Source organism: Homo sapiens, chromosome 10, assembly GCF_000001405.40.
Source record: "Homo sapiens chromosome 10, GRCh38.p14 Primary Assembly".
NCBI lineage: Eukaryota > Metazoa > Chordata > Mammalia > Primates > Hominidae > Homo > Homo sapiens.
This window is the reverse complement of record NC_000010.11, coordinates 59,675,650-59,700,494: the sequence shown is the minus strand read 5'-3', so window position 1 is coordinate 59,700,494 and position 24,845 is coordinate 59,675,650. Positions and strand designations below refer to the sequence as shown.

The 24,845-nt window shown below is 40.5% G+C and overlaps 1 protein-coding gene across 14 annotated transcripts in view; it reads left to right on the top strand.

Annotated features, from left to right (window-relative positions):
• Positions 1-24,845, top strand: part of SLC16A9 (solute carrier family 16 member 9) — a 59,316-nt gene that overhangs the window by 9,585 nt on the left and 24,886 nt on the right. For 6 of the 14 annotated variants that reach the window (NM_194298.3, XM_017015883.2, NM_001323981.2 and 3 more), the window contains one exon: positions 16,168-16,399. In NM_194298.3, the coding sequence (NP_919274.1) occupies positions 16,204-16,399 (196 nt within the window). In that variant the 5' untranslated portion in view covers positions 16,168-16,203. Of the gene's footprint in view, positions 1-7,679; positions 7,825-11,726; positions 12,221-16,167; positions 16,400-24,845 lie in introns of those variants that run through there. The other 8 variants (NM_001323977.1, NM_001323979.2, NM_001323980.2 and 5 more) reach the window with 4 other exon arrangements.

Here is a 24,845-nt window from a genome sequence, read left to right as displayed (position 1 = left end):
ATTTGCTTTTTGATGCACATTGAATTACCACCTTTTTTTGCAAACTGGTTTTGAAAGGGAGATCCTAGGAGTCTTTGGGATAAGGAAGGGGTCTCTGAACTGGGGAAACCGCAGCAAACTGGGGTATGAAGAATGCAAAGATGAACTTGACTGTGCAGTGCTTATGAGACAAAGTCAGCATTTGTCAGCTTTCATTCTACCAACAGGTACCCTAATAACTGTACTGCAACATCTGGAAAGGGGGTGGTAGCCAGCTATGTGGTTTCCTGATTTGAGGAGAAAAGGAAAGAAGGAAAGAAAGGAAACAAAAGCAAACCTTGTTTGGACTTCAGTGCTTCTTGATTTTGTCTTTTTTTGGCTGTCACTAACCTGGGGGCTTTTCAATGATCTAAGAGCAGCCTATGATTGTCATTCTGGTCTTTCCTCACTGAGACTTTCTTCTTATTTGCTGACTTTTCTTTCCATCAGGAAATTATTCTAAGAGATGTTGAAAAATGCCATTACCATATCCTGTTATTATTTTTGGGTGGGGGGAGAGATGTGGTACTAATGTGTGTATGTGTGTGTGTGTGTGTGTGTGTGTGTGTGTGTGTTTTCAGTGCAGTTGAATCTGAAATAATGAAAACCTAGAACCAAGTATCTAACAGAAGATGTCCTATTATGGCAGGGAAGGAGGAGAGTCGAGGATGTTCTGGCCAGAGGTCTTTATAGGGAAAGTACCTTAAAGATTTTGGGGGAGCTATATGAGGATAAAATAACTTTTTCTGACTACCAGTTATGTCTAAAGGGATTTAAAAAAAAAAAGAGTGATACTTCATATTGAGATTACTATGTGCCAGGCACTGGGCTAAGTGCTTTACAGAAATTAACTCATATAATTATTACCACAATCTGATGAGGTAAATACTGTCATTCCCCTCACTTTTCAGATGAAGAAAAAGAGGCAGAGAGCTATTTAAGTAACTTGCTGAAGGTCACACTCTTGGCTGGTACCAGAGCTGCGATGTACACTCGGGTTATCCAAGACACCAGCCAGTGTGCTTATTCCTTATGCGAAATTTTCTAGAATAGACGTTCTCATGTACTCACAGATGTAAGTATCTGTGTGTGTACTCGTATGAGACTGTAGTTATTGAAAACACAGAGAAGTGGAAATTCAACCTGCCATTCTTTTGAACTACATAATACCTTTACCAAATGATCACAGCCTCTCTCCTGCTACCTTTCCCACACTGAGAGGTTGTTTGGTTAATTTGAGCAAATTAATAGGTGACAGTCATTATCCTGACAGCCTTATAATTATCATCATTCACACCATTATCTTTGTTAGAATCTTCTCAGGGGTTTTCCTGCCAGGCCCATGCCTGTTCTGTTGGGGACTGCGGATAAAGCAGAATTGGGGAAAGAGCAGAACACTAGGGTATGAAAAATGCAAAGATAAACTCGACTGTGCAGTGCTTAAGAGACAAAGTGTTGTAATCCCAGCACTTCGGGAGGCTGAGGCAGACAGATCAACTGAGGTCAGGAGTTCGAGACAAGCCTGGCTAACATGGTGAAACCCCATCTCTACTAAAAATACAAGAAAAAACATTAGCTGGGCATGGTGGCGGATGCCTGTAATCCCAGCTACTCGAGAGGCTGAGACAGGAGAATTGCTTGAACCCGGGAGGTGGAGGTTGCAATGAGCCAAGATCCTGCCATTGCACTCCAGCCTGGGTGACAAGAGTGAAACTCTGCTCAAAAAAAAAGAAAAAAAAAAAAAGAGAGACAAAGTGTTGGCTTTTGTCAGCTGAGTGTGGCTTGGACACAAAGAATTGGGGCAAGTATCTGGGCACTGACTGCCCAGAGGTTCTTGGAGCTGCTCCTCCTGGGTCTTTTCCTTGGCTGCTGCACAGCAGAAGGGTGGCATTTGGGGTGGTTGAACCTGTGCTTGGCTATTTGGGACAATGGGAAAGAGACAGAACAAGACTTTTCTCTCTTCTGGCTGGCAGTGGTGTGTTCTTGCTCTTTCTGGAGCCATAAGGGTGAAACTGTGCTCATTCTCTAGCCAGAGACCAGCCAACAGATTCTGGGGATTTGCCACGTTAAAGTGTGGGGTTAATAGCATTGCCACCACCAGTGGGGACAGAGTCAAATACAGCAAGTCAGGAAGGAGCAGGCAACTGTACATTCCTTTGGTCTTCCTCTATGGTCCAGTGTGCTTAGGAAAAAAAAGTCATATTCTCCTGAAAGGATCTAATTATTCTGCTCTTTTGTTTTGTAAAGTTTTGTTTAAGTGTTCTAAGTATTAAGAAATAACTAAAGATTTAAAAGTTTCCAAAGCCCTAGATTTCTAAATAATCCAGTAACCAGTTGTTGTTCTAGAATTCTGGGGTAACCAGTAACTACTCCTTAGACAATGGCTATGAAATTACCAGAAATCCCTTAAGTTCCAGATTCTTCAATACCAGAAAAAAACCCTAAGGTTGTGAAAGTAATAGCTAACATTTATTGAGGGTTTTTTGTTTTGTTTTGTTTTTTGTTTTTTTTTTTACTGTGTGCCCAGCAGTGAGCTTTGAATTTGCAACCCACTCTTATCCTATTTTACAAATGAGAAAACTGAGGCTCAAAGCCAACAAACAATTGGCTTAAAATCCCATGCTAAGTAGCACAGACTGGACCAGAACTTAGATACAAACTTGATTTAAGAAGCCTCTGATCTTTTTTTTATTTTTTTATTTTTTTAATTATTTATTTATTTATTTATTTTTTATTTTATTTTTTTTATTGATCATTCTTGGGTGTTTCTCGCAGAGGGGGATTTGGCAGGGTCACAGGACAATAGTGGAGGGAAGGTCAGCAGATAAACAAGTGAACAAAGGTCTCTGGTTTTCCTAGGCAGAGGACCCTGCGGCCTTCCGCAGTGTTTGTGTCCCTGGGTACTTGAGATTAGGGAGTGGCGATGACTCTTAACGAGCATGCTGCCTTCAAGCATCTGTTTAACAAAGCACATCTTGCACCACCCTTAATCCATTCAACCCTGAGTAGACACAGCACATGTTTCAGAGAGCACAGGGTTGGGGGTAAGGTCACAGATCAACAGGATCCCAAGGCAGAAGAATTTTTCTTAGTACAGAACAAAATGAAAAGTCTCCCATGTCTACCTCTTTCTACACAGACACGGCAGCCATCCGATTTCTCAATCTTTTCCCCACCTTTCCCCCCTTTCTATTCCACAAAACCGCCATTGTCATCATGGCCTGTTCTCAATGAGCTGTTGAGTACACCTCCCAGACGGGGTGGTGGCCGGGCAGAGGGGCTCCTCACTTCCCAGTAGGGGCGGCCGGGCAGAGGCGCCCCTCACCTCCCGGACGGGGTGGCTGGCTGGGCGGGGGGCTGAACCCCCCCACCTCCCTCCCGGACAGGGCGGCTGGCGGGGCAGAGGGGCTCCTCACTTCCCAGTAGGGGCGGCCAGGCAGAGGCGCCCCTCACCTCCCGGACGGGGCGGCTGGCCGGGCGGGGGGCTGACCCCCCCACCTCCCTTCTGGACGGGGCGGCTGGCCGGGCGGGGGGCTGACCCCCCACCTCCCTCCCGGACGGGGTGGCTGTCGGGCGGAGACGCTCCTCACTTCCCACACGGGGTGGCTGCTGGGCGGAGGGGCTCCTCGCTTCTCAGACGGTGTGGCTGCCGGGCGGAGGGGCTTCTCACTTCTCAGACGGGGCGGTTGCCAGGCAGAGGGTCTCCTCACTTCTCAGACGGGGCGGCCGGGCAGAGACACTCCTCACATCCCAGACGGGGCGGCAGGGCAGAGGTGCTCCCCACATCTCAGATGATGGGCGGCCGGGCAGAGACACTCCTCACTTCCTAGATGGGATGGCGGCCGGGCAGAGACGCTCCTCACTTTCCAGACTGGGCAGCCAGGCAGAGAGGCTCCTCACATCCCAGACGATGGGCGGCCAGGCAGAGACGCTCCTCACTTCCTAGACGGGGTGGCGGCCGGGCAGAGGCTGCAATCTCGGCACTTTGGGGGGCCAAGGCAGGCAGCTGGGAGGTGGAGGTTGTAGCGAGCAGAGATCACGCCACTGCACTCCAGCCTGGGCACCATTGAGCACTGAGTGAACGCAACTCCGTCTGCCATCCCGGCAACTCGGGAGGCCGAGGCTGGCGGATCACTCGCGGTTAGGAGCTGGAAACCAGCCCAGCCAACACAGCGAAACCCCCTCTCCACCAAAAAAATACGAAAACCAGTCAGGCGTGGGGGCCCGCGCCTACAATCGCAGGCACTCGGCAGGCTGAGGCAGGAGAATCAGGCAGGGAGGTTGCAGTGAGCCAAGATGGCAGCAGCACAGTCCAGCTTCGGCTGGGCATCAGAGGGAGACCGTGGCAAGAGAGGGAGAGGGAGACCGTGGGGAGACGGAGAGGGAGAGGGGAGAGGGGAGAGGGGAGAGGGCTTTAAAAATCTTTTGTAGAGACAGGGTCACACCGCCTCTGATCTTAACATTACTCAGTTCCTATCGTTCTGGAACCAGATGCTAGAGAAATGTGCCTTCTTCCTGTCTACCCCATCTTCATGGTAAAATTAAGAATAAAGAATAAAGGAAAGCTAGGAAGTAATTGAAAAAATTGTTAACTTGCTTAAAATAGTTTTCTGTTATCTCCTTCCTCCATATGTACCTAAAGCAGCCCAAGGACACTGATGTTGACCTCGGAAACCCTGAATTTATGTTTTTTTCTCATTGTTCAGATTCCTCTTTCAGGCTATTTAGGCATTCCTGCACCTGAGGAGAAGCTTTGCTCTGTTGCTCCTTTGTTTGAGGAGCCATAATAACCAATGAAATAAGCAATACATAATTTCCTGATTGTATTTTCCTCATACAAACCTGTTACTAGGTTAGAAATTTGGGTGTAGGTATAGGTGGGGAGAGTGGATGTGGGTGGCAAGGAGGGCCATTGACGAGGTGGGGGGGCTCGTATTTATGAAAAGTCTCATGCAGCTGCTGTTAATTTTCTAAGTCAGGCCATATATTTGGTCATTGTAACTGTGTGTTTATAGCATACATCTTTTAAAAAGTAAATTTGTTGTGTTATAACCTACATCCAGTAAAATTCAACAATTATAAGCATACAGTATGATGAGTTTTGACAAATTCACATAGGGTTTACATTAATTTTTTTGGTAACAGATTTATTAAATTATAAATTACATATAATTCACTTATTTAAAGTGTATAATTCCTTGATGGCTTTAGTATATTCAGAGTAGTACAACCATCACTACCATCAATTTTAGAGCATTTTCATCACCCCCGAAGAAACCTCATATGCATTAGCAGTCACTCCCCATTTCTCCCTACCCCAAAACCTCCCAGCCCTAGGCAGCCACTAATCTACTTTCTGTTTCTACAGATGTGCCTGTTCTGGACATTTCACATAAGTGGAATCATACAATGTGTGGTCTCTTTCAATTACATTTTCTCACTTAGCTTAAGGTTTTTAAGGTTATTCATGTTGTTGCATGTATAAGCATTCCATCCCTTTTTATTGCTGAATAATAGTCCATTGTGTAGATATATATCATACTTTATCCATTCATCAGTTGATGGGCATTTGGATCCATTATCTATATATGTTTATCAGTTTTTATCACATATAATATATAAAAATATTTAGTGTATATATATGTGTGTGTGTGTGTGTATATATATATATATATTTGAGATGGAGTCTCGCTCTGTTACCCAGGTTGGAGCGCAGTAGCACGATCTCAGGTCACTGCAACCTCCACCTCCTGGGTTTAAGCGATTCTCCTGTCTCAGCCCCCAAGTAGCTGGGATTACAGGCACCCACCATCACAGCTGGCTAATTTTTGTATTTTTAGTAGAGATGGGGTTTCACTATGTTGGCCAGGCTGGTCTTAAACTCCTGGCCTCAAGTGATCCACCCACCTTGGCCTCCCAAAGTGCTGGAATACAGGCATGAGCCACTGCACCTGGCTGAATATTTAGTATACTTAATGTATTCTATCTATAGTCTATCTTAATATATAGACTATTTTCTATATATATTAATCACTGGCTAATAGCATTCATTTTTAAGATGTAGATATTTAATCGAAACCTTGATTTTCATATCCTCTTTTTTCTTTTCTTACTTTCAATATTTAGTATGCTAGTAGTCAGAAACATGAAAGTAGCTTAATCCCATCTTGATTTCTGAGACAATCTGATCAAGGCCACCACAACTGGATTTACAGTTGTACGAAAATTATTATTTGGAGGCCAGGCGTGGTGGCTCACGCCTATAATCCCAGCACTTTGGGAGGCCGAGGCAGGTGGATCACAAGGTCAGGAGATCAAGACCATCCTGATTTACACGGTGAAACCCCGTCTCTACTAAAAATACAAAAAAAAGTTACCGGGCGTGGTGGCGGGCGCCTGTAGTCCCAGCTACTCCGGAGGCTGAGGCAGGAGAATGGCCTGAACCCGGGAGGCGGAGCTTGTGGTGAGCCGAGATAGCGCCACTGCACTCCAGCCTGGGCGACAGAGCGAGACTCCATCTCAAAATAAATAAATAAATAAATAAATAAGTAAAATTAAAAGGCCGGGTGCAGTGGCTCACGCCTGTAATCCCAGCACTTTGGGAGGCAGAGGCAGGCGGATCACGAGGTCAGGAGATCAAGACCATCCTGGCTAACAGTGAAACTCCGTCTTACTAAAAATACAAAAAAATTAGCCGGGTGTGGTGGCGGGCGCCTGTAGCCCCAGCTACTTGGGAGGCTGCGGCAGGAGAATGACGTGAACCTGGGAGGCGGAGCTTACGGTGAGCCGAGATCACGCCACTGCACTCCAGCCTGGGCGAAAGAGTGAGACTCCATCTCAAAATAAATAAATAAATAAATAAATAATACATAAAATTATTATTTGGAGTTCACCCCCTTGAATAGCTATTTCAAACCGTAGAAAATTCTTATAGAATTGTGTGTGTGTGTATATATAGACATACAGAATGAAGATGACTCAATATGATTTTACAAAGAGTTTTAATACTTTAGAAGCACAACAGGGTGGATTCTTTTTCTTTTCCTTAAAAACTGATGTTGATATATAAGTATATTTTTTTGACTTTAGAAGAGAAATGATACACTGACATCTTGAAACGTCATTGGAAAGTGACAAAATTGATCTAGTGACTATAACTTTTAAAGGACTTACGTTAGTGTTAACATGATGACATTTGCTAATACATCAATCAACAAAGAGAGTAGATTTACTTGACAGTTTAGGTCTTTGACCCAGAGGAGACTTACTTTAAAGTTCTGTCCTACTTAAAAATTGTTATAAAAATCAGTTATAAGTGTGTTGACACTGTTGCAGCTGATGACCGCAGATGCACTTTTTACCCCTTGAACAGTATAAAATGAAATTGCTTAAGAAATGGGAAGGCAAAAGTAGAAGTAGAATATTACATGTGGTATGGAGAAGGCGGACTCAAGAACTAGAGATAAGATCACTTGTGTTATGTGTCTCATGAAATGAAATGTAATTAATTTGTATTTGAATTGGGAGCTTCAGTTTGTTTTAAATATATTTGTGTACCTATTGTTTTAGAATTCCCAAAAAGTTATCTACATTTTTGCTTACATTTCATGAAAACACCCAAAGAATGACTTGTTTACCTACATTTTTTTGTTTGTTTTTAGGTATTGGTTAATTATTTCTCAATTCCCAGGATTCCTTCACCCAAACTGAGGTGGTATAGAATAAATGATACATGTTTGGAGGGACAAAAGTCATTGTTTGAGGGAAAGAGTGATATCAGTATTACAACTGCTTCTGGCTGAACAGGTTTGCTTTTTAGTTTATAAAACTTGTTACCTACATTGGAGTCAGAGCTAAAACATAATTTTCAGTAGCTTTTGAAGTGTTTTATTTTAACAGCTTTATTGAGGTATATAACTCATACATGATAAAACTGATCCATTTAATATGTGCAGCTCAGTGATTTTTAGCATGTTCATAGAGTTGTGCTACCTGCACCACAATCTAATTTTAAAATGTTTTCATCATCCCACAAAGAAGCCCTGCACCCTTTAACAGTCATTCCCCATTTCCACCCCTCAAACTTTTTTCCAAAGTGGCTTCAGCCTTTTCATCTGCCACAGCAGCATGTGAGGGTTTCAGTCCACCTCCTCGCCCATGGTTTATAGCCTTAAAGTGTCATAAATGTAACTGTAGGAAGGTCATGGAACCCAGCATGATTTAGATTTTTGATTCACCTCACAGATAACTAGATCAAGGCAAAATCAACCTGGAATCAACCATTTTTTTCCCAAGATAAAGTCACAGGATTCTAGGCTCTTAAAGTGCTTCAGCACCAGACAATCCGGTAGTGATTGAGATTCAAATAAAAATGTGCTACTGTTGACCTCCTTTTATATTTCAAGTGAAAAGTCTATCTATGAATCTTTAAGGAGATGTTTATAGACAATGCTCAAATGGGGGTTATTAGGGAAAGATAATTTTGGGGAAGGGAGCAAAGGCAACAGGAAACTGTCAGCTGAAAATAAGATTAAATACTTGTAAATCACTTTGTATTTGGCAAAAATTAGTATAGTGCATATGTATACATTTCAGGGATAGAAATACTCAGTGTTCTTAAATGTCACACCTGCAGTTCTGACAGCCTATATCCAGAGCAGAAATTTTCAGCCAATGTAAAGAGTTGAAGAAACAAAGGATTGGCATTATTTGAGCAGAACTAAACATAATCGAAGGTGCTGGAACTTAAAGCTTTATTGTGAATGAAATGTAGTCTTTCATCAATAGTCTTTTTCGTTTCCCGAAGGAAGGGATTAGAACTTGCCAACTCTCCTTTCCCCTTAAACAAAACAGGTTCTGGCTTTAGGAGATATACTATCCTTTCTACTAATGATAATCTAATTTTGTTGAATAGTGATATCTTCTTATGGTTAATATTATTTCATGCTCTTCTCTCTCCTCCAAGGGAGGCTCATAATACATGTACTGTATTTAATTTTTTTAAGTTAAAGTTAAGAAAGATGCTTACAAGTTCAAGTTCAAATTCAAATTAATTCTGTGAAACTTCTTTAAACCCTGTAGTATAAAAAAACTGCCCCTAAATTAGTGTTCTTCAAATGATCTCTCAAAATGGTTTCTAATTTTGAGTTTTATAAGGTGTCTGGTCACTCAGAGTCCTGGTTTGTTAACACTCTGGTTGAAGGAGATTCCAAATTCTCAAATAGTTTACTAGAATGTAGTACAATATCTATTTCTTAGAAACACATTTTCATACATTTGAATAAGACTCCAAAACGTTGAATGTATGCATGGATCATAAATCTAAATAACATAGTGCCTTCTGATACTTACAGATCTTGTTTCATTCATTTATTTACTTACTTATTTATTTAGAGATGGAGTCTTGCTCTGTCACCTAGGCTGGAGTGCAGTGGCGTGATCTCAGCTCACTGCAACCTCTGCCTCCCGGGTTCAAGCGATTCTCCAGCCTCAGCCTCCTGAGTAGCTGGGATTACAGGCGCGTGCCACCATGCCCAGATAATTTTTGTATTTTTTAGTAGAGACGGGGTTTTGCCATGTTGGCCAGGCTGGTCTGGAACTCCTGACCTCAGGTGATCCACCCACTTCGGCCTCCCAGAGTGCTGAGATTATAGGTGTGAGCCACCCTGCCTGGCCTTTTTTTTTTGGAAAAAAAATTCCACCACTTAGATAATATAAATGATTAATTCTACAATATGTAGAAACAATTATTTCTTGTGGTTATAAACACAGACTTCTTGAAACACATTTTTCTTGAATTTACATGGAGAGTACCATTTTTCTAATCTTGTTTTGCTCTGTGAGCCCTGTAAGAACTGCCCTCTCCAACTCCACCAAACCTATCGGGCCTATCCTGATTACACATGTATGTTCATGTTATTCCTCTTGCCTTGGCCGCCCTTCTATGAATCCCTTCATTGTTCTTCACAACTAACCTACTTTATGAGGCCCTTCCACTCCTGCTCCCATCTTGAGTGCTTTCATTTCCTTCGACTCCTAAACATTTAATATCCATCCACTTGTATGGCACCCAATCGTGTACGTACTCTTTTGCACATACCTTTCCACGTGGACACACCTTCCCATGTACACATATCTTACCTTCCTAAGTGAGTTAAAAGAGTTCCTGAGGTCAGGGACCATACCTTATATGCCTTCTGGTCTCCCTTAGTAGCTAGTGCAATATAACTTAAATGTAAGTGATCAAGAACATTTTGAATAAAGACCACTTTCTTCTTTTTTTTCTTTTTGAGACAGCATCTTGATCTGTTGCCCAGGGTGGAGAACAGTGGCATAATCATGGCTCACTGTTATGGCTCACCTCCTCAGCTCAAGCTATCTTCCTGCCTCAGCCTCCCAAGTAGCTGGGACCACAGGTGCATGCCACCACACCCAGCTAATTTTTAAGACCACTTTTATCTTGCTGCATTTCTATAAACATTAGGATAAATGGGCTTAGTGGAAGTTTTAGTTAATTTGGAATTTTTATGAAAAAGAGTGCCAAATAAGGGAATGTATCATATTAGATCATAAGATATGAAGAAGGGAGGATAATAAGAAATTTTCATAAAAATAGATATGGCACATCTATATTTCTTATATTCTATGGTCATCAACAATATTCCTCAGCTTTACCTTTGTCCCAAATGGAACCAAGTGGGGTATGGATGGTTAAAATAATCAACTTGAAATTACTGCATACTCACAATATATTTATTCAGCTGCAGGTAAAGAAATGAGTACCGATAACTTAACAAAATAATTTACTGGGTTAGCTCACAAACGTGGAAGGTTGGAGAAACCAGGCTTCGGTATCTCTAGGAGGTCAACGTAGTAGGACTGACAGAGGTCTCTTCAGTGCACTTTCATGGGGATCCATAAACTCCGCAGATTTTCCTTTCCTTATATAGCATTTCACTCAAGATTCAGGCATTTCAATCAAGATTCAGAGTCCTGAAAGCCTACTGGCTTCTCTTGGGTTAGATGCCCTTTATTGCTCAAGGTCAAGGAAACTTAATTAACAGTCCCACAAGCCCTCTAGCCATAGGACTGATCTACATCCTCAAAAAGGAAGTTGAGCACCATTACAAAAAAGGAGAAATGAAGGCTAGCCTATTCATAAAATCACCTTACGCAGTACAGAATATCAGAAAAACAGCTGGTGAGAGGCACCTAGGGAATAGAGGAAGCCACGGGAGGAGGGTACTAGAGTGACAGAATACAGGAAATCACTCAATGGTAGTTTTAACTGTGTTCTATTGACACTACATGTATCTTAAACTCTGAGATGATGACAGATCAGAAGCTGTTAGTCATCGCTATAAAAACTTGCCTTTCTAGTCAGAGTTGATGTGCATGGGAACTTTGTATTTCCAAGGTTTGCTCTCTTAAATATTTACTGTGAGAATTTCTTTGGCTCTTGTCCTACATCCTGAAATGTCACCGAAGGCAGGGCATGGCAATGCAAGGGAGGGCGGAGGTGTGTGGTGTAGAAAGGCATTTTTGTCTACTTAGGTTTGAAAACTGGTAAGGGAGATAATTCTCTTCATCCTCCCCCATTGCCCGCAACCTCCCAGGAATACTGGCTTTATTCATGATTCTGGTGCTTTGTCTCTATAAATGTGTACTTTTCCTGAAGTGCTGTGATTGGAGCATTTGAATGAAGGACAATCTCGTATGCATTTGTCTTCACACAACCTCTTAGTCTCTTTAGATGTTTGGCTATTTCTATCATATCCTATCTAGTTTGAGGAGTTCAGACAATATTTTCTTTAAAGAGGATTCTGGACAGAAATTGTAAAGTACTAAATTGTCATTAGAAAGATCAGAATTGCATTGTTTACTTTTACAATAGAGTAGGTACCAGAGAGAGCAAATTTCCAATGGAGGGACATATTTGATTACTACAAAAGTTTCTGATTTGGAAGTTTGGATAATTCTGTTAACACAATCATATGGTTTGAGTGTCTAGATTTTATACCTACAGTTTTGTTCACTAATTGTAACATCTCTCTGTTTTTGATCATTAAATGTTGAAAGTTAATTTGTGTAAAGACTTATGCACGTGGTGACATGAGTTCTGCCCAGTGCTCTGAAATCAAAGTGAAGAAATAAATCCATGGAAGCCCAGGCAAATGATGGGTGTAGCTATGACTCTCTGAAGGTAGCCAAATGCCTTGTCATCTAATTAGGCTGTGTGTGAATGGATAATTGATATTCCTACTGTCTTCAGAGATTATCTGTTGAAACCACAGCCAAGTGCATGGTTTGGCAGAATCCGTGGGCAAAGACTCTGTTGCACCTGACAGTAAACCTGGCATAGTGAAGAGACATGGAAGGTACAGGTTAAGTGGGAGGCCCTGCTGGGGACCTGAAGGTTAAGCCTTGGATCTCCAAATCCATTGCCATGTAAGCTGTTTAGGAAAAGAAGGAAAATTTTTCTTTTCTTTTCTTTCCTTTTTTTTTTTTTGTTGTTGTTGAGACAGGGTCTCACTGTGTCACCCACACTGGAGTGCAGTGGTGCAATTACTGCTCACTGTAACCTCAAACTCCTGGACTCAAGCCATCCTCCCACCTCAGCCTTTTGAGCAGCTGAGACTACAGCTGCACCACCACACCAGTCTAATTTTTGTATTTTTTTGTAGAGATAGAGTTTCACTATGTTGCCCAGGCTGGCCTCGAACTCCTGGGCTCAAGCCATTCCTTGGCCTCCTGAAGTTCTGGCATTACAGGCATGAGCCACTGTGCCCAGCCCAAAGCTTTAAATAAAGTAAACACCATTTGGTTACCAACACTAGTAGAAATCAAAAACAAAAATAGACAAATTTTGCCTATGAAGTAAAAAATTCCTCCGCCAAAATAGACTAACATAGTCAAAACAATGCATGAACCAAGGAAATTTAATCCAATAATTCATGGATGCTTCAGTAGTAGAAAACATATATTTTATCATATTAAGAGTTATAAAGGGAAAATTGTATGACCATCTTCCTATACACTGGAAATACATTGATAAAATGTAATAACAATTATTTATAATAACACTCAAAAATATAAAAATGCAAATTACTTTCTTAACTTCGTAAAAGAAATCCAACAAAGCACCAGAGGCAACATCATGGTATTTGAGGGCATTCCCACTAAAGTTAAGAACAAGACAAAAATGTATACTTTTGTTAATTGGTATTATTCTGTATGTACTGTTCAATGCAAAGACAAAAGAAGGAAATTAGGGGCCAGGCACGGTGGCTCATGCCTGTAATCCTGGCACTTTGGGAGGCTGAGATGGGTGAAACACCTGAGGTCAGGGGTTCAAGACCAGCCTGGCCAACATGGTGAAACCCCGTCTCTACTAAAAATACAAAAAATTAGCTGGGCATGGTGGTGCCTGTAATCCCAGCTATTCAGGAGGCTGAGGCAGGAGAATCGCTTGAACCTAGGAGGCGGAGGTTGCTGTGGGCCGAGATTGTGCCATTGCACTCCAGCCTGGGCAGCAAGAGCGAAACTTTGATTAATCAGCCTATGTGCCTGACACTGGTCTTGCAGTACAACTGGAAACCAAAGCAAGGTGGAGGATGTCCTGAATTAAGATGTTTTCATCTCATTGTGTAACAGAGACAGCCAATAAATCTACCATTTGATTTTATAAAAAAGGAAATTGGAAGTATAAAAATTTAAGACATATAAGGAGATAAAAAATTGTAACTGTAGGTGACTATATGACTGTATTGCATTGTGCATTGTATATACCCAAGAAAATCATCTGAAAATCCACCACAAATAGGAGAATTTTGTAAGGAAGTGGGATGTAAAATTAACATACAGACATCAATAGCTTTTAAGCATACAAACAGAAGACAAATAAATGACCCCAATTACAATATTAGCAGCGAGGATAAAATCTATAAAAATACAATACAATGAAATATTGAGGAACATTTTAAACACTAAGAACATAGATGGAGACTTGAACAAATGCAAAACATATTATGTTCTTAGAATGAGTTGACATCATAAAAGGTCAATTCTCCTTACATCAATTTTTAAATTTAACTCAGTCCTAATGAAAGCATCATCTGATTTCTTTTTGAACCAGACAGGCTGATTCTGAAGTTCATATAGAACAGAAAACATGAATAGCTACAAAATATTTCAAAAGGAGTGTAATTATAAAGACAGAAAAAGCCCCATTAGAGATTAAAATATGGTAAAAGGACTTTTATAAAAAAGATTCTGTGATGAAACAAATGTGGTAATGATGTGTGAATAGACAGACCAATGGAACAGAATAGAATATCCATATACACCTAAGAATTAGGAATTTCAGCTGGCTTTTCATCTCCAAAACGGTACACGACATTTATACTGTAAGAAATGCAAGTTGAGTGAGCCGAGATTGCGCCACTGCACTCCAGCCTGGGCGACAGAGCAAAACTCCATCTCAAAAAAAAAAAAAAAAAAGAAAGAAATGCAAGTTGAAACTATGATGAAATGCTATTTTAAAACCAAGAAATTTGCAAAAATCCAAAAGTTTCACAACACATTCAAAATCCTGGAGACAATATGAATTAGCTCAATGCTCTTGAACTTAATTTGGTAATACCTGGCCTCAATGATCCTCCCAACTCAGCTTTTTCAATATTTTCTGAAATTACAATTACAAATGTATATTCCTTTTGACTCAGCAATTCCTCTTTTGGATTTTACCTAACAAATATGCCTATAAGCAAAAAGATATATGAATATGTAAGGTTTTTCACTGCACATTGTTTTCCATTAAAGCCACAGGGACTGGTCGAACAAACTAAGATAAAGTCCCATACTGGAATACAGTGCAGAAGTAAGAAATGAATAAGGAAGGTCAGTATGCATTGATGTGGAAGATCTTCCAGATATTTGTCAAGTGAAAGAGAACAAGGCACATACCAATGTATATAATATGCTATTTTTTTGTGTGTAAAAAATAAGGGAAATCTATACTTGAGTTTGCCAGTGTATGCATAAAGAAACTTTAGAAGGCTATACAAGAAACAAGATGCATTGGTTACCTGTGGAGGAGATAAGGCTTAGATGGGAAATAGGTAGACAGGGGACTGTTTATCTTTTGTCTTTTTTTCATTATGAACCATGCAAGTGTTTTTGCCTATTCAGTGAGTAAATAAATAAGCAAGCATACAGCCATATGTATACATCCTATGTACTTATAAAAATGACTAAGGATGCTGTCTATGTATTGATAGGGAAAAATCTCTCAGGATGTTATGTGGACAAAGGAAGGTGGGGAATGTAATGTATAATATACTACTTTTTTATGAAAAAGAGAGACATTGAAAATATTTGCTTGGTTTTGCTTATAAATGCATAAAGAAACTGGAAAAATACTCCAGTTGGTGAACATTGTGATGTGCTGCCAGTTCCATTCCAGGCCTCCTTCAGGAATGACAGAGTTCTTGCCCCAGCTGTTGAGAATGCTGCCAGCCCTTATGGGGATAGATTGCCTCCTTTGAAGGGAGCCGCCTCACCTCAGATCACCACCCATTCCTGGGTAGCCACATCCAGTGCATGATCAACATGGAAGTGTGGATGGGCAGCTCCCAGCACCCAGCTCAGCACATCTCTGAAGGGTCATCCCAACTTTAGAAATCCCCTTCTTTATAACTGCAAGGTTATCTGCAGCTGATCTTCTCCCTCTGCCATCTGTGCCCTTCCATAGGCATCAACTCGAAAGCATTCCTAATCAGTCTACTTCTTGCTAGGAATCTGCTTCCTAGGGAACCCAAGAAACTAAAAACTAAGAAACTAAAATTAGTGGTTCTCTGTGGTTGAGCAGGGTGGGAATCTGGTGAAGGTGGACAAGGTTGAGAAGGCTATATTTCACTTTATGCCTTTTTATAATTAAAAAAAATTGTACCATGTGTCTACATCATTTATTCAAATTATAAATGCAAATGTATTTGTTAACTTGCTATGTCAGTGATATTTTATGCTTTTCCATGTATGTCTTTGGAGAACCTTTTTTTTTTTTCACTTTAGGAGGAGATATTTTTACCCCAAGCGCTGTGCCCTACCACACTCTAAATAAGATTCTCTTTTCTGTTTGTTTTTGTTTAGGACCTGCAGAGAAACGCCTCCTGATTTTGTCTTACAATGGAACTTAAAAAGTCGCCTGACGGTGGATGGGGCTGGGTGATTGTGTTTGTCTCCTTCCTTACTCAGTTTTTGTGTTACGGATCCCCACTAGCTGTTGGAGTCCTGTACATAGAATGGCTGGATGCCTTTGGTGAAGGAAAAGGAAAAACAGCCTGGGTTGGATCCCTGGCAAGTGGAGTTGGCTTGCTTGCAAGTAAGTGGATAAATTAATGCCTCTCTTTACTCTTTAATCATTTAATTACATTTACTACATCATGAACATTGTGCAAGGCAGAGAGGGCTTTCTTTTCAAAGTATAACATATCTTTTCCTGCCTTCATTGCAATGATTGTACTTTCACTGTAATAAATCAGTGTGAAAATGCAGGCACTCCCTAAGATGTTAAATCAACCATCAATTCATTCATTTCTTTATTCATTTATTTTCTACGATGTGCCGGGCATTGAACTAGATGCTGGAAATGAAAAGATAAACAGCAAACACATGGTTCCTGCCCTTAAGAGGCTCATAGTCTTGTAAGATACACACATATATGAGTAAGAATGAGTCAGGGAGATGAAGGTAGTGATCCAGGTATGCTCAAGGTACATTGGTAAGGACCAAAGGACAAAATGGCTCTCAGCAGCCTTCTAGGCAGCTTCTACATGGCTTGTGATTACTCTTCTCTGTTTCAGATACACTGTGGTCAAATCACATGTCCTGTGGTCATGAGAACTTCCCAAGAAAAAGCTGACATAGCAAAGAGTCTCACAAAATCCAATCCAATCCAATCACAAAATTAAAATCCTCATTAAGGATTTTAATATAGTGTTATGTATAAGACATATGTGATATATTTTGTGTGTCTCCAAAAGTGATATTCTTGATGAACAGTTACATATGATGTAATAGTGATTCCTGTCATCTTTAGAGAGAATAGTAGAGACTTTTTATTTTCCTTTTCACCATTAAAATCATATGCCACTTGAACTTCTAGAGTCATAGTTTGAACTCTGCAGTAATATTTAGTGACCATTATTCCAACATATTTGGAACTATTTAAGCACAACAGATGGTGATCTAGATAGGGTCAGTAGCCCTGGGCTCTCTTCCTGTGTGCTATGAACTCACCATTATTCATTGAGCAAATCACAATCTCTATTCTTATGGGGAAAATAAGGACATTAAATATGATTTGTAAGGTATTTTTCAGCTCTAAAATGGTTTCATGAAAAATGCATTAGTCATTCCTTCTTTTAAATATGCTTCTCTCCTGAATTGTAAAGGGGATGTCTTTCAAAAAAAGCAATGCCTCCAATTGTTGTATTACCTTGTTAAATTATAAACAAGAAAAAAAGGCTTAAAAAACAATGCAGGATCATCTTGCTATGTCAGATAAGATGATTAAATATAAGTAAACAAAAAAAAATAATATAGCCATTATGAGCTCAAGGGAAACAGGGAACGTTTGCCCTAGATTTGTTTCATAGTTTCTCAAAATAAGGATTGTTTGTAAAGCCACCAAAGTACAAGTGGATGATAACTGATATGTTAATAATGTGATTTGAATGTATTGATTTCTAAAATAAGACCTGTAGTGGGGAGGAAATAATTTTTTTAATGTTCTCTAATTAGTCACCATTTCTATTAGCAAATACTAAGTTAAACAGAAATGTAATTACTTTGGCTTCCAGCAAGGGTCAAAGGATAATTAAAATGCTGACTCAATTAGCACATACTTGAAGAATGAAGCTTCTTTTCACAAGTCTGTCCAGGTTGGAGTAGAGGGCTGAGGAAAGCGGAGATCTCCTTAAGGATGGGCATTGGTGGTCAGAGCTGAAGCTGACTGTTTTTGACAATTCAACTGCAGCTCTACACGTTTTCCAAGTTTCTAGGTGGATGATAACTCATCTCAAGAGCCAGGAGCAGCCCTCTTTACTCTTAGGCAGAACTGGCTACATAATTTGCAGGCCCCAGTGCAAATTTAGTGACAGCAGAGCAAATTTAGTGACAGAATTTAGTGACAGCAGAGCACTAAACCAAGTGTGGGATCCTTCTAAACACTGGGCCCTGTGCAACTTGCATAGTCACAAATCCAACAAGCCAGCCCTGCTTGTAGGGACCAGAGAGTTAGGGCATCTTATCAAAATTCTGGGAGACAACAAGTACTTGAAGGAGCTTGAGGGTGGAGTCAGAAGCTAATTCAAGTCCTGGCTCTACCACCATTGAGCTGAGTGACCTTATGCAAGTCACTTAACCTCTCTAGGTCCACTGCCTTTAGCTAGATGAGGAAGCAGTTGCACCTGGTGAGCAAAGCTTTTAAAGATGAGCATAGAAAAATGAGGGCAAATAATTCAAGAATGAAAAGTGGTGGGGAAAAAAAAAGGATGGCTAAATAGCTACAACTTACGCCTGCGTGTGTGTATATATACATATACATATACATATACATATACATATACATATACATCATATACATATACATATACATCATATATACATATACATATACATATACATATACATCATATACATATACATATACATCATATACATATACATATACATCATATACATATACATATACATCATATACATATACATATACATATATATATACATATACATATACATATACATATACATCATATACATATACATACACATACACATATACATATACATCATATACATATACATATACATATACATATACATATACATACACATACACATATACATATACATCATATACATATACATATACATACACATACACATACACATATACATATACATCATATACATATACATATACATATACATATACATATACATATACATACACATACACATACACATATACATATACATCATATACATATACATATACATATACATATATATATACTTTAGATATTGTGTACAAGTTTCAGCATAGCTGGCTCCATTGAACATATTGTATTTGATGTTATCCTCTTTGGGTTCCTCATAGCATAAATTAAGATGCAAACCCTGAAACAGTGTTTATATAGTATTAGCAAGCAGTGTCTGGCAGTGTGCAAGTCACACTGACCATCAGCTTTATGACAACTTTGCTCTACAGAGAAACAAGTGGATCATTAGTACCTTGGAAGTGGAATAAGTATTTTCATGTTGGTGACTCAAATGGTTATCAGTGGTTCTTAGCCAGGGAGATAATTAGGATCATCTATGGGACCATTTCAGCATATAATTGCGTGGATTTGACACGCAGACAGTCTAATTCATTTGGTCCATGATGGGGCCTAGATTCATGAATTATTATTGTTATTATTATTATTATTTGAGATTGGGTCTTGCTCTGTCACCCATGCTGGAGTGCAGTGGTGCTATATTGGCTCACTGCAACCTCGACCTCCCGGGTTCAAGTGATCCTCCCAACTCAGCCTCTTGAGTAGCTGGGACTACAGGTGCATGCCACCATGCCCAACTATTTTTTTCTTATTTTTTGTAGAAACAAGGTCTCACCATGTGGCCCAGGCTGGTCTCAAACTCCTGGGCTCAAGGGATTCTCCTGCCTCAGCCTCCCAAAGTGTTGGGATTACAGGCATAAGCTACTGTGCCTGGCCTCATGAATTTTTTAAAGTCCCCAAAGTGATTTTTAGTTAGGAACTACCACTGGCTTAAGCCCTCTATATTTAAATTTTAATCTTTCACTTTTTGATAACTCTCTGATATATGATTTGCTTTGACATTTTTAAAATAAAGAGAACTATTGTAGATTTCTTCTTGTGTGTGGCACTACTCATGCCGTGTAAATTATGAAAAGTAAATTGTCTGTAAAACCTGCAAAAGAAAGGGACCATTCAGGATGAAAGATGAAGACAGTTCTTGGAAGGATGGGTGGCAGAGGGAGCTGGAACCTTGCCAAGATTGTGCCTAAGCATGTGAAACATAAAGTCCTACTCCTGGGCTTTGGCAAACCTAGATTTGGACAGTAGCTCATAATAGCATATTACAACTGTGAAAAGACATGAAATTCTGGACTTTATACTCTTTATAATCTTAATTCCTAATTCCTTTTCCTTGAGACTTAAATAATTGAGAAGAAAATACTTCTTCCCCTTGCTTGAATTCTTTGTTTGTCCAGATAATCCCTGGGATGAATAAAGCTGGGTAGGAAGGATCCTACCCTCCTGGGTTATACATTGTGAATGAGCTCATCCTCATTACATATATTCCTAGGGTCTCTGAGCTAGGGATGCCAATATAGAAAACACCATCCATGTTTCTAAAAGGTTTGTAGTCTCAGGGAAGAGACAGAAAAAAAAGGTAACTAATAATTTGAGAATTCACAAATATCAAGGAGAATAGCAATGGCAAAACAATCTCTGAGGTTTTAGAGGGATAGCCTTTGAGGAAGCTATTGAGATGGGCCAGATAGGAAGATGGACTTTCATAGGCAGATAGACAGGGAGAGGGAAGTCCATGCAAATTACCTTTATGCAGAGGCCTGGATTTGGTACTGCAGAGGCTGTGTTCTCATGGAGTAAATTTGGCTGGAAAGGAGGGATTGTGTTGGGAGGTGTGACGGTCAGTTTTATGTTTCAACTTGGCTAGGTTACATTCTCCAGTTGTTCAAACACCAATCTAGGTGTTGCTGGGAAGTTATTTTGTAGATGTGAATAAAGTGCATAGTCACTTAACTTTAAATAAGGTAGCTTATCCTAGAAAATCTAGATGGATTTGGCTCAATTGTTGAAAGGCTTTAAGAGCAGAAATGAGCTTTCCCAAAAGAAGAAATTCTGCTTGTAATTGTAGCTGCAGCCTATCCCTGAGAGTTCCAACATGCCCTTCCTAATGGCCTCCTCTGCAAATTTTTGACTTGGTTAGCTAGGCAGGTATTGTCTGGCTGCCTAGTATGGTTGTTTCAAACGTGTAAGCCAATTCCTTGCAACAAATGTCTTAATATATGCTTCCTACTGGTTTTGTTTTTCTGGTTGAAACTTGACTGATATGGGAAGAATGGAAGGTAACTGAACTAGAGAGCTATCATGGCCTTGCATTGTTTTAAGATGAGCTAACACACCCTTTGGCTAGATATTGTTCTCCAAATTCAAGGAAACGGTGGTTCTGTTTCTCACACTACCCAAGTGCTGAAACAGCAGGAAATAGCACGGAGATCTAGTCTGCAGTTTTGTACTCAAAGCAGATTTGAGAGTCCTTGCCCTCTCCCTTTTGTCTTCACTTCCTCCAAAGGTGTTCAAACTCATAATACGAGTCAGTAAACGCATCACCATGTTAATATAATGAGTCAGTATGGCCAGGCCCACTTGCTGAATGAGTTATGAGTGCTGGCAGAGCTGGGTTTGGGCATTACCCCTAAGCACTGTTAACTCCTTCAAGGAGTACTGAATTCCTGCTTCTCTCAAGGATTCTGTTGCATTGGCAGGTTCCCAGTGTGCTAGGCAGTTTTAAGATTGGTGGCCGGGCGCGGTGGCTCACGCCTGTAATCCCAGCACTTTGGGAGGCCGAGGCGGGTGGATCATGAGGTCAGGAGATCGAGACCATCCTGGCTAACAAGGTGAAAACCCGTCTCTACTAAAAATACAAAAAATTAGCCGGGCGCGGTGGCGGGCGCCTGTAGTCCCAGCTACTCGGGAGGCTGAGGCAGGAGAATGGCGTGAACCCGGGAAGCGGAGCTTGCAGTGAGCCGAGATTGCGCCACTGCAGTCCGCAGTCCGGCCTGGGCGACAGAGCGAGACTCCGTCTCAAAAAAAAGAAAAAGAAAAAGAAAAAAAAAAGATTGGTAGGAATAAAGACCAGGTTTTGGTTAAGCTTTCTGCCATCTCTAAATACCACCAAACCCACTAAAATGAAAGGCAGTCAGGGTATATGAGATCAACAATTTGAGTGGGTGTGGCTCCTTAGTGCCTTTTTCTTTCTCAAGGAGATGAACTTGAGATTTACAGTCTTTGCTGGAGCAAGGATTGAGGAACCTGCAATTTGGAGGAGCTCACACCTTGGGCTCCCTGAATTTTAGATGGAAAGGTAGGACCTTCACAGGCCCAACTGATCCACTCTGTTAGGAAATCCTTGCTGCATGGCAGGTCCATAACCTGGTTACTACTATATTCTGTTTCTCACTGTAGCATCAGCCAACTTATGTATTCACTGCAGCAGACCTGGCCATCCTTCTACTCCTGGGACTCTCTGAAACTTTTTAGGAAAAAGAAGTGTGACACAGGAAGGGGAACATCACACTCTGGGGACTGTTGTGGGGTGGGGGGAGGGGGGAGGGATAGCATTGGGAGATATACCTAATGCTAGAGGGCGAGTTAGTGGGTGCAGCGCACCAGCATGGCACATGTATACATATGTAACTAACCTGCACATTGTGCACATGTACCCTAAAACTTAAAGTATAATAATAATAAATTAAAAAAATAATAATAAAAGTAGCTAAACTTAAAAAAAAAAGTGCGTGGAGGTTGAGTTTATTTCCTAAAGGGAATAATTTCATTCCCAAAACTATCCTATAATAAATTAAAAACTGAAAAATCACGTTATGTTTCTGTTCCCTCCATTTAGAATAGATGTTCATCCCTTTTGTTGACATAACCATACTTCGCAGCCTAGTTCAAGGCTTAGTTCTGTGGCCTTGGTTTTTCTTCCTCTTATGAAATCCCCAAACAAGCCGTCTGAACCTTTCTTTTGGTGCTTTTGGCCTTGGGTTTTATTTTAAACCTTGATGCGAGTTTGTTTTGCCTCTTGTCTGAGTCCTGGATTGTGTTTGATTTCTCTGTGTCCTTTTCTAACATGATATGAGATTCTAGTACTGTGCTGTCCAGTAGGGTGGGCACATGTGGCTACTGGGCACCTGAAATGTGGCTTATTCCAGTTTAGATGAGCTATAGGTATAATAAATACACACTGCGCTGGGTGTAGTGGCTCATGCCTATAATACTTAGAGCTTTGGGAGGCTGAGGCAGGAGGATCACTTGAGACCAGGAGTTTAAGACCAGTCTGGGCAACATAATGAGACCCTGTCTCTATAATTTTTTTTTTTTTAATTAGCCAGGAGTGGTGGTAACTTGGGAGGCTGAGGCAATAGTGGCTTCTAAACACCAATACTGACAACAATAATATTGGCTCTTGAACACTAATATGCAGGCAGTGGTAAGTTCGGGAAAAACTTTCACCAAAGGCAAAATGAATATAAAGGCAATGATAGAGGAAATGTATGAGTGTGTGTGTGTGTGTGAAGTTCCTATTATCTTCTTACTGTCTTGCATTTTATTCCAAAATTACATCCTTCTCACTATTAGCTTATTTAAACATTTCTTCTTCTCTAATTAAGCAGTAGTAATAATAGATGGTTATTACTTTTTTTTTTTTTTTTTTTGAGACAAGAGTTTTGCTCATTGCCCAGGCTGGAGCACAGTGGCGTGATCCCAGCTCACTGCAACCTCCACCTTCCCGGTTCATGCAATTCTCCTGCCTCAGCCTACCGAGTAGCTGGGATTACAGGCATGTGTCATCACACCTGGCTAATTTTTGTATTTTTAGTAGAGGCAGGGTTTCGCCATGTTGGCCAACCTGGTCTTGAACTCCTGACCTCAGGTGTTCCACCTGCCTTGGCCTCACAAAGTGCTGGGATTACAGGCTTGAGCCACCATGCCTGGCCAGTTATTATATTTTTAAAGTATCTTGTGAAAATAAAACATTAGGAACCCTTGCCCCTTTTTCCCCCCCTTTTTTCCCTAAAATTGTTCAGGTTCAAAGGTGTGGAATCACTGGTTCATGTCACAGGTAAACTAACTTTTGTTCCAAAGTTCCCTTCTGCAGAGTTTTCACTTTGCATTGTAAGAAATCTCCTGAAAGTAGCCCTTTGATTTAATCTGTCTCTTGAAACTCATCCAGTGCTGAGGAATAATAGATGGTTTATCATCTTGAGGCCTTGCACAGTTACTACAAAGAGCTAAATACATAAATATATCACATTTTGCAGATGTGACTTGATGGTCACTTTGATACATTTTGTCTTGTTATTGCTGAAATATGAGGCTATTGTGTTTTAAATCTATGTGAATAGAATCTATAAATAAACCCAGGTTCTAAGGATAAGGGTAAAATAATTTTGCTCTAAACTATTGAACACCAAGTGATTATAAATTTTATGTTTTCATCTAACATAAGTTCATAAAGCTATGTTATCTATAAGACATTAACAAAAGTACCATTACCAGTGGTGAATCCATACAGGTCTGCATCAGACTTGATCCTTGCTTCCTTGGAGGAAAGAATTCCGCCAGGGGGCAGAAGTGGGTTTAAAGCAGAGAAAGAGACCAAGGCAAGTTTTAGAGCCGGAGTGAGAGTTTATTAAAAAATTTTAGAGCAGGAGTGAAAGGAAGTATTTACACTTGGAAGAGGGCCATGTGGGCAACTTGAGAGATTCAGGTGCCCCATTCAGTCCTTGACTTGGGGTTTTACAAGTTGGCATGGTTCTGGGGTTTTTCCTTCTCTCTTGATTCTTTCCTTATGGTTGGCTGTTGCTCAACTGCTGCATAGGCAGTGTTGGTCATTTGGGAGGGTGACCACGTGCATAGTGTGTTTACTGAGGCTGTGCTCATGCTCCGTAGGGGCAGTTTTCCTTTACCAGTCAAATGCCCCCAGAG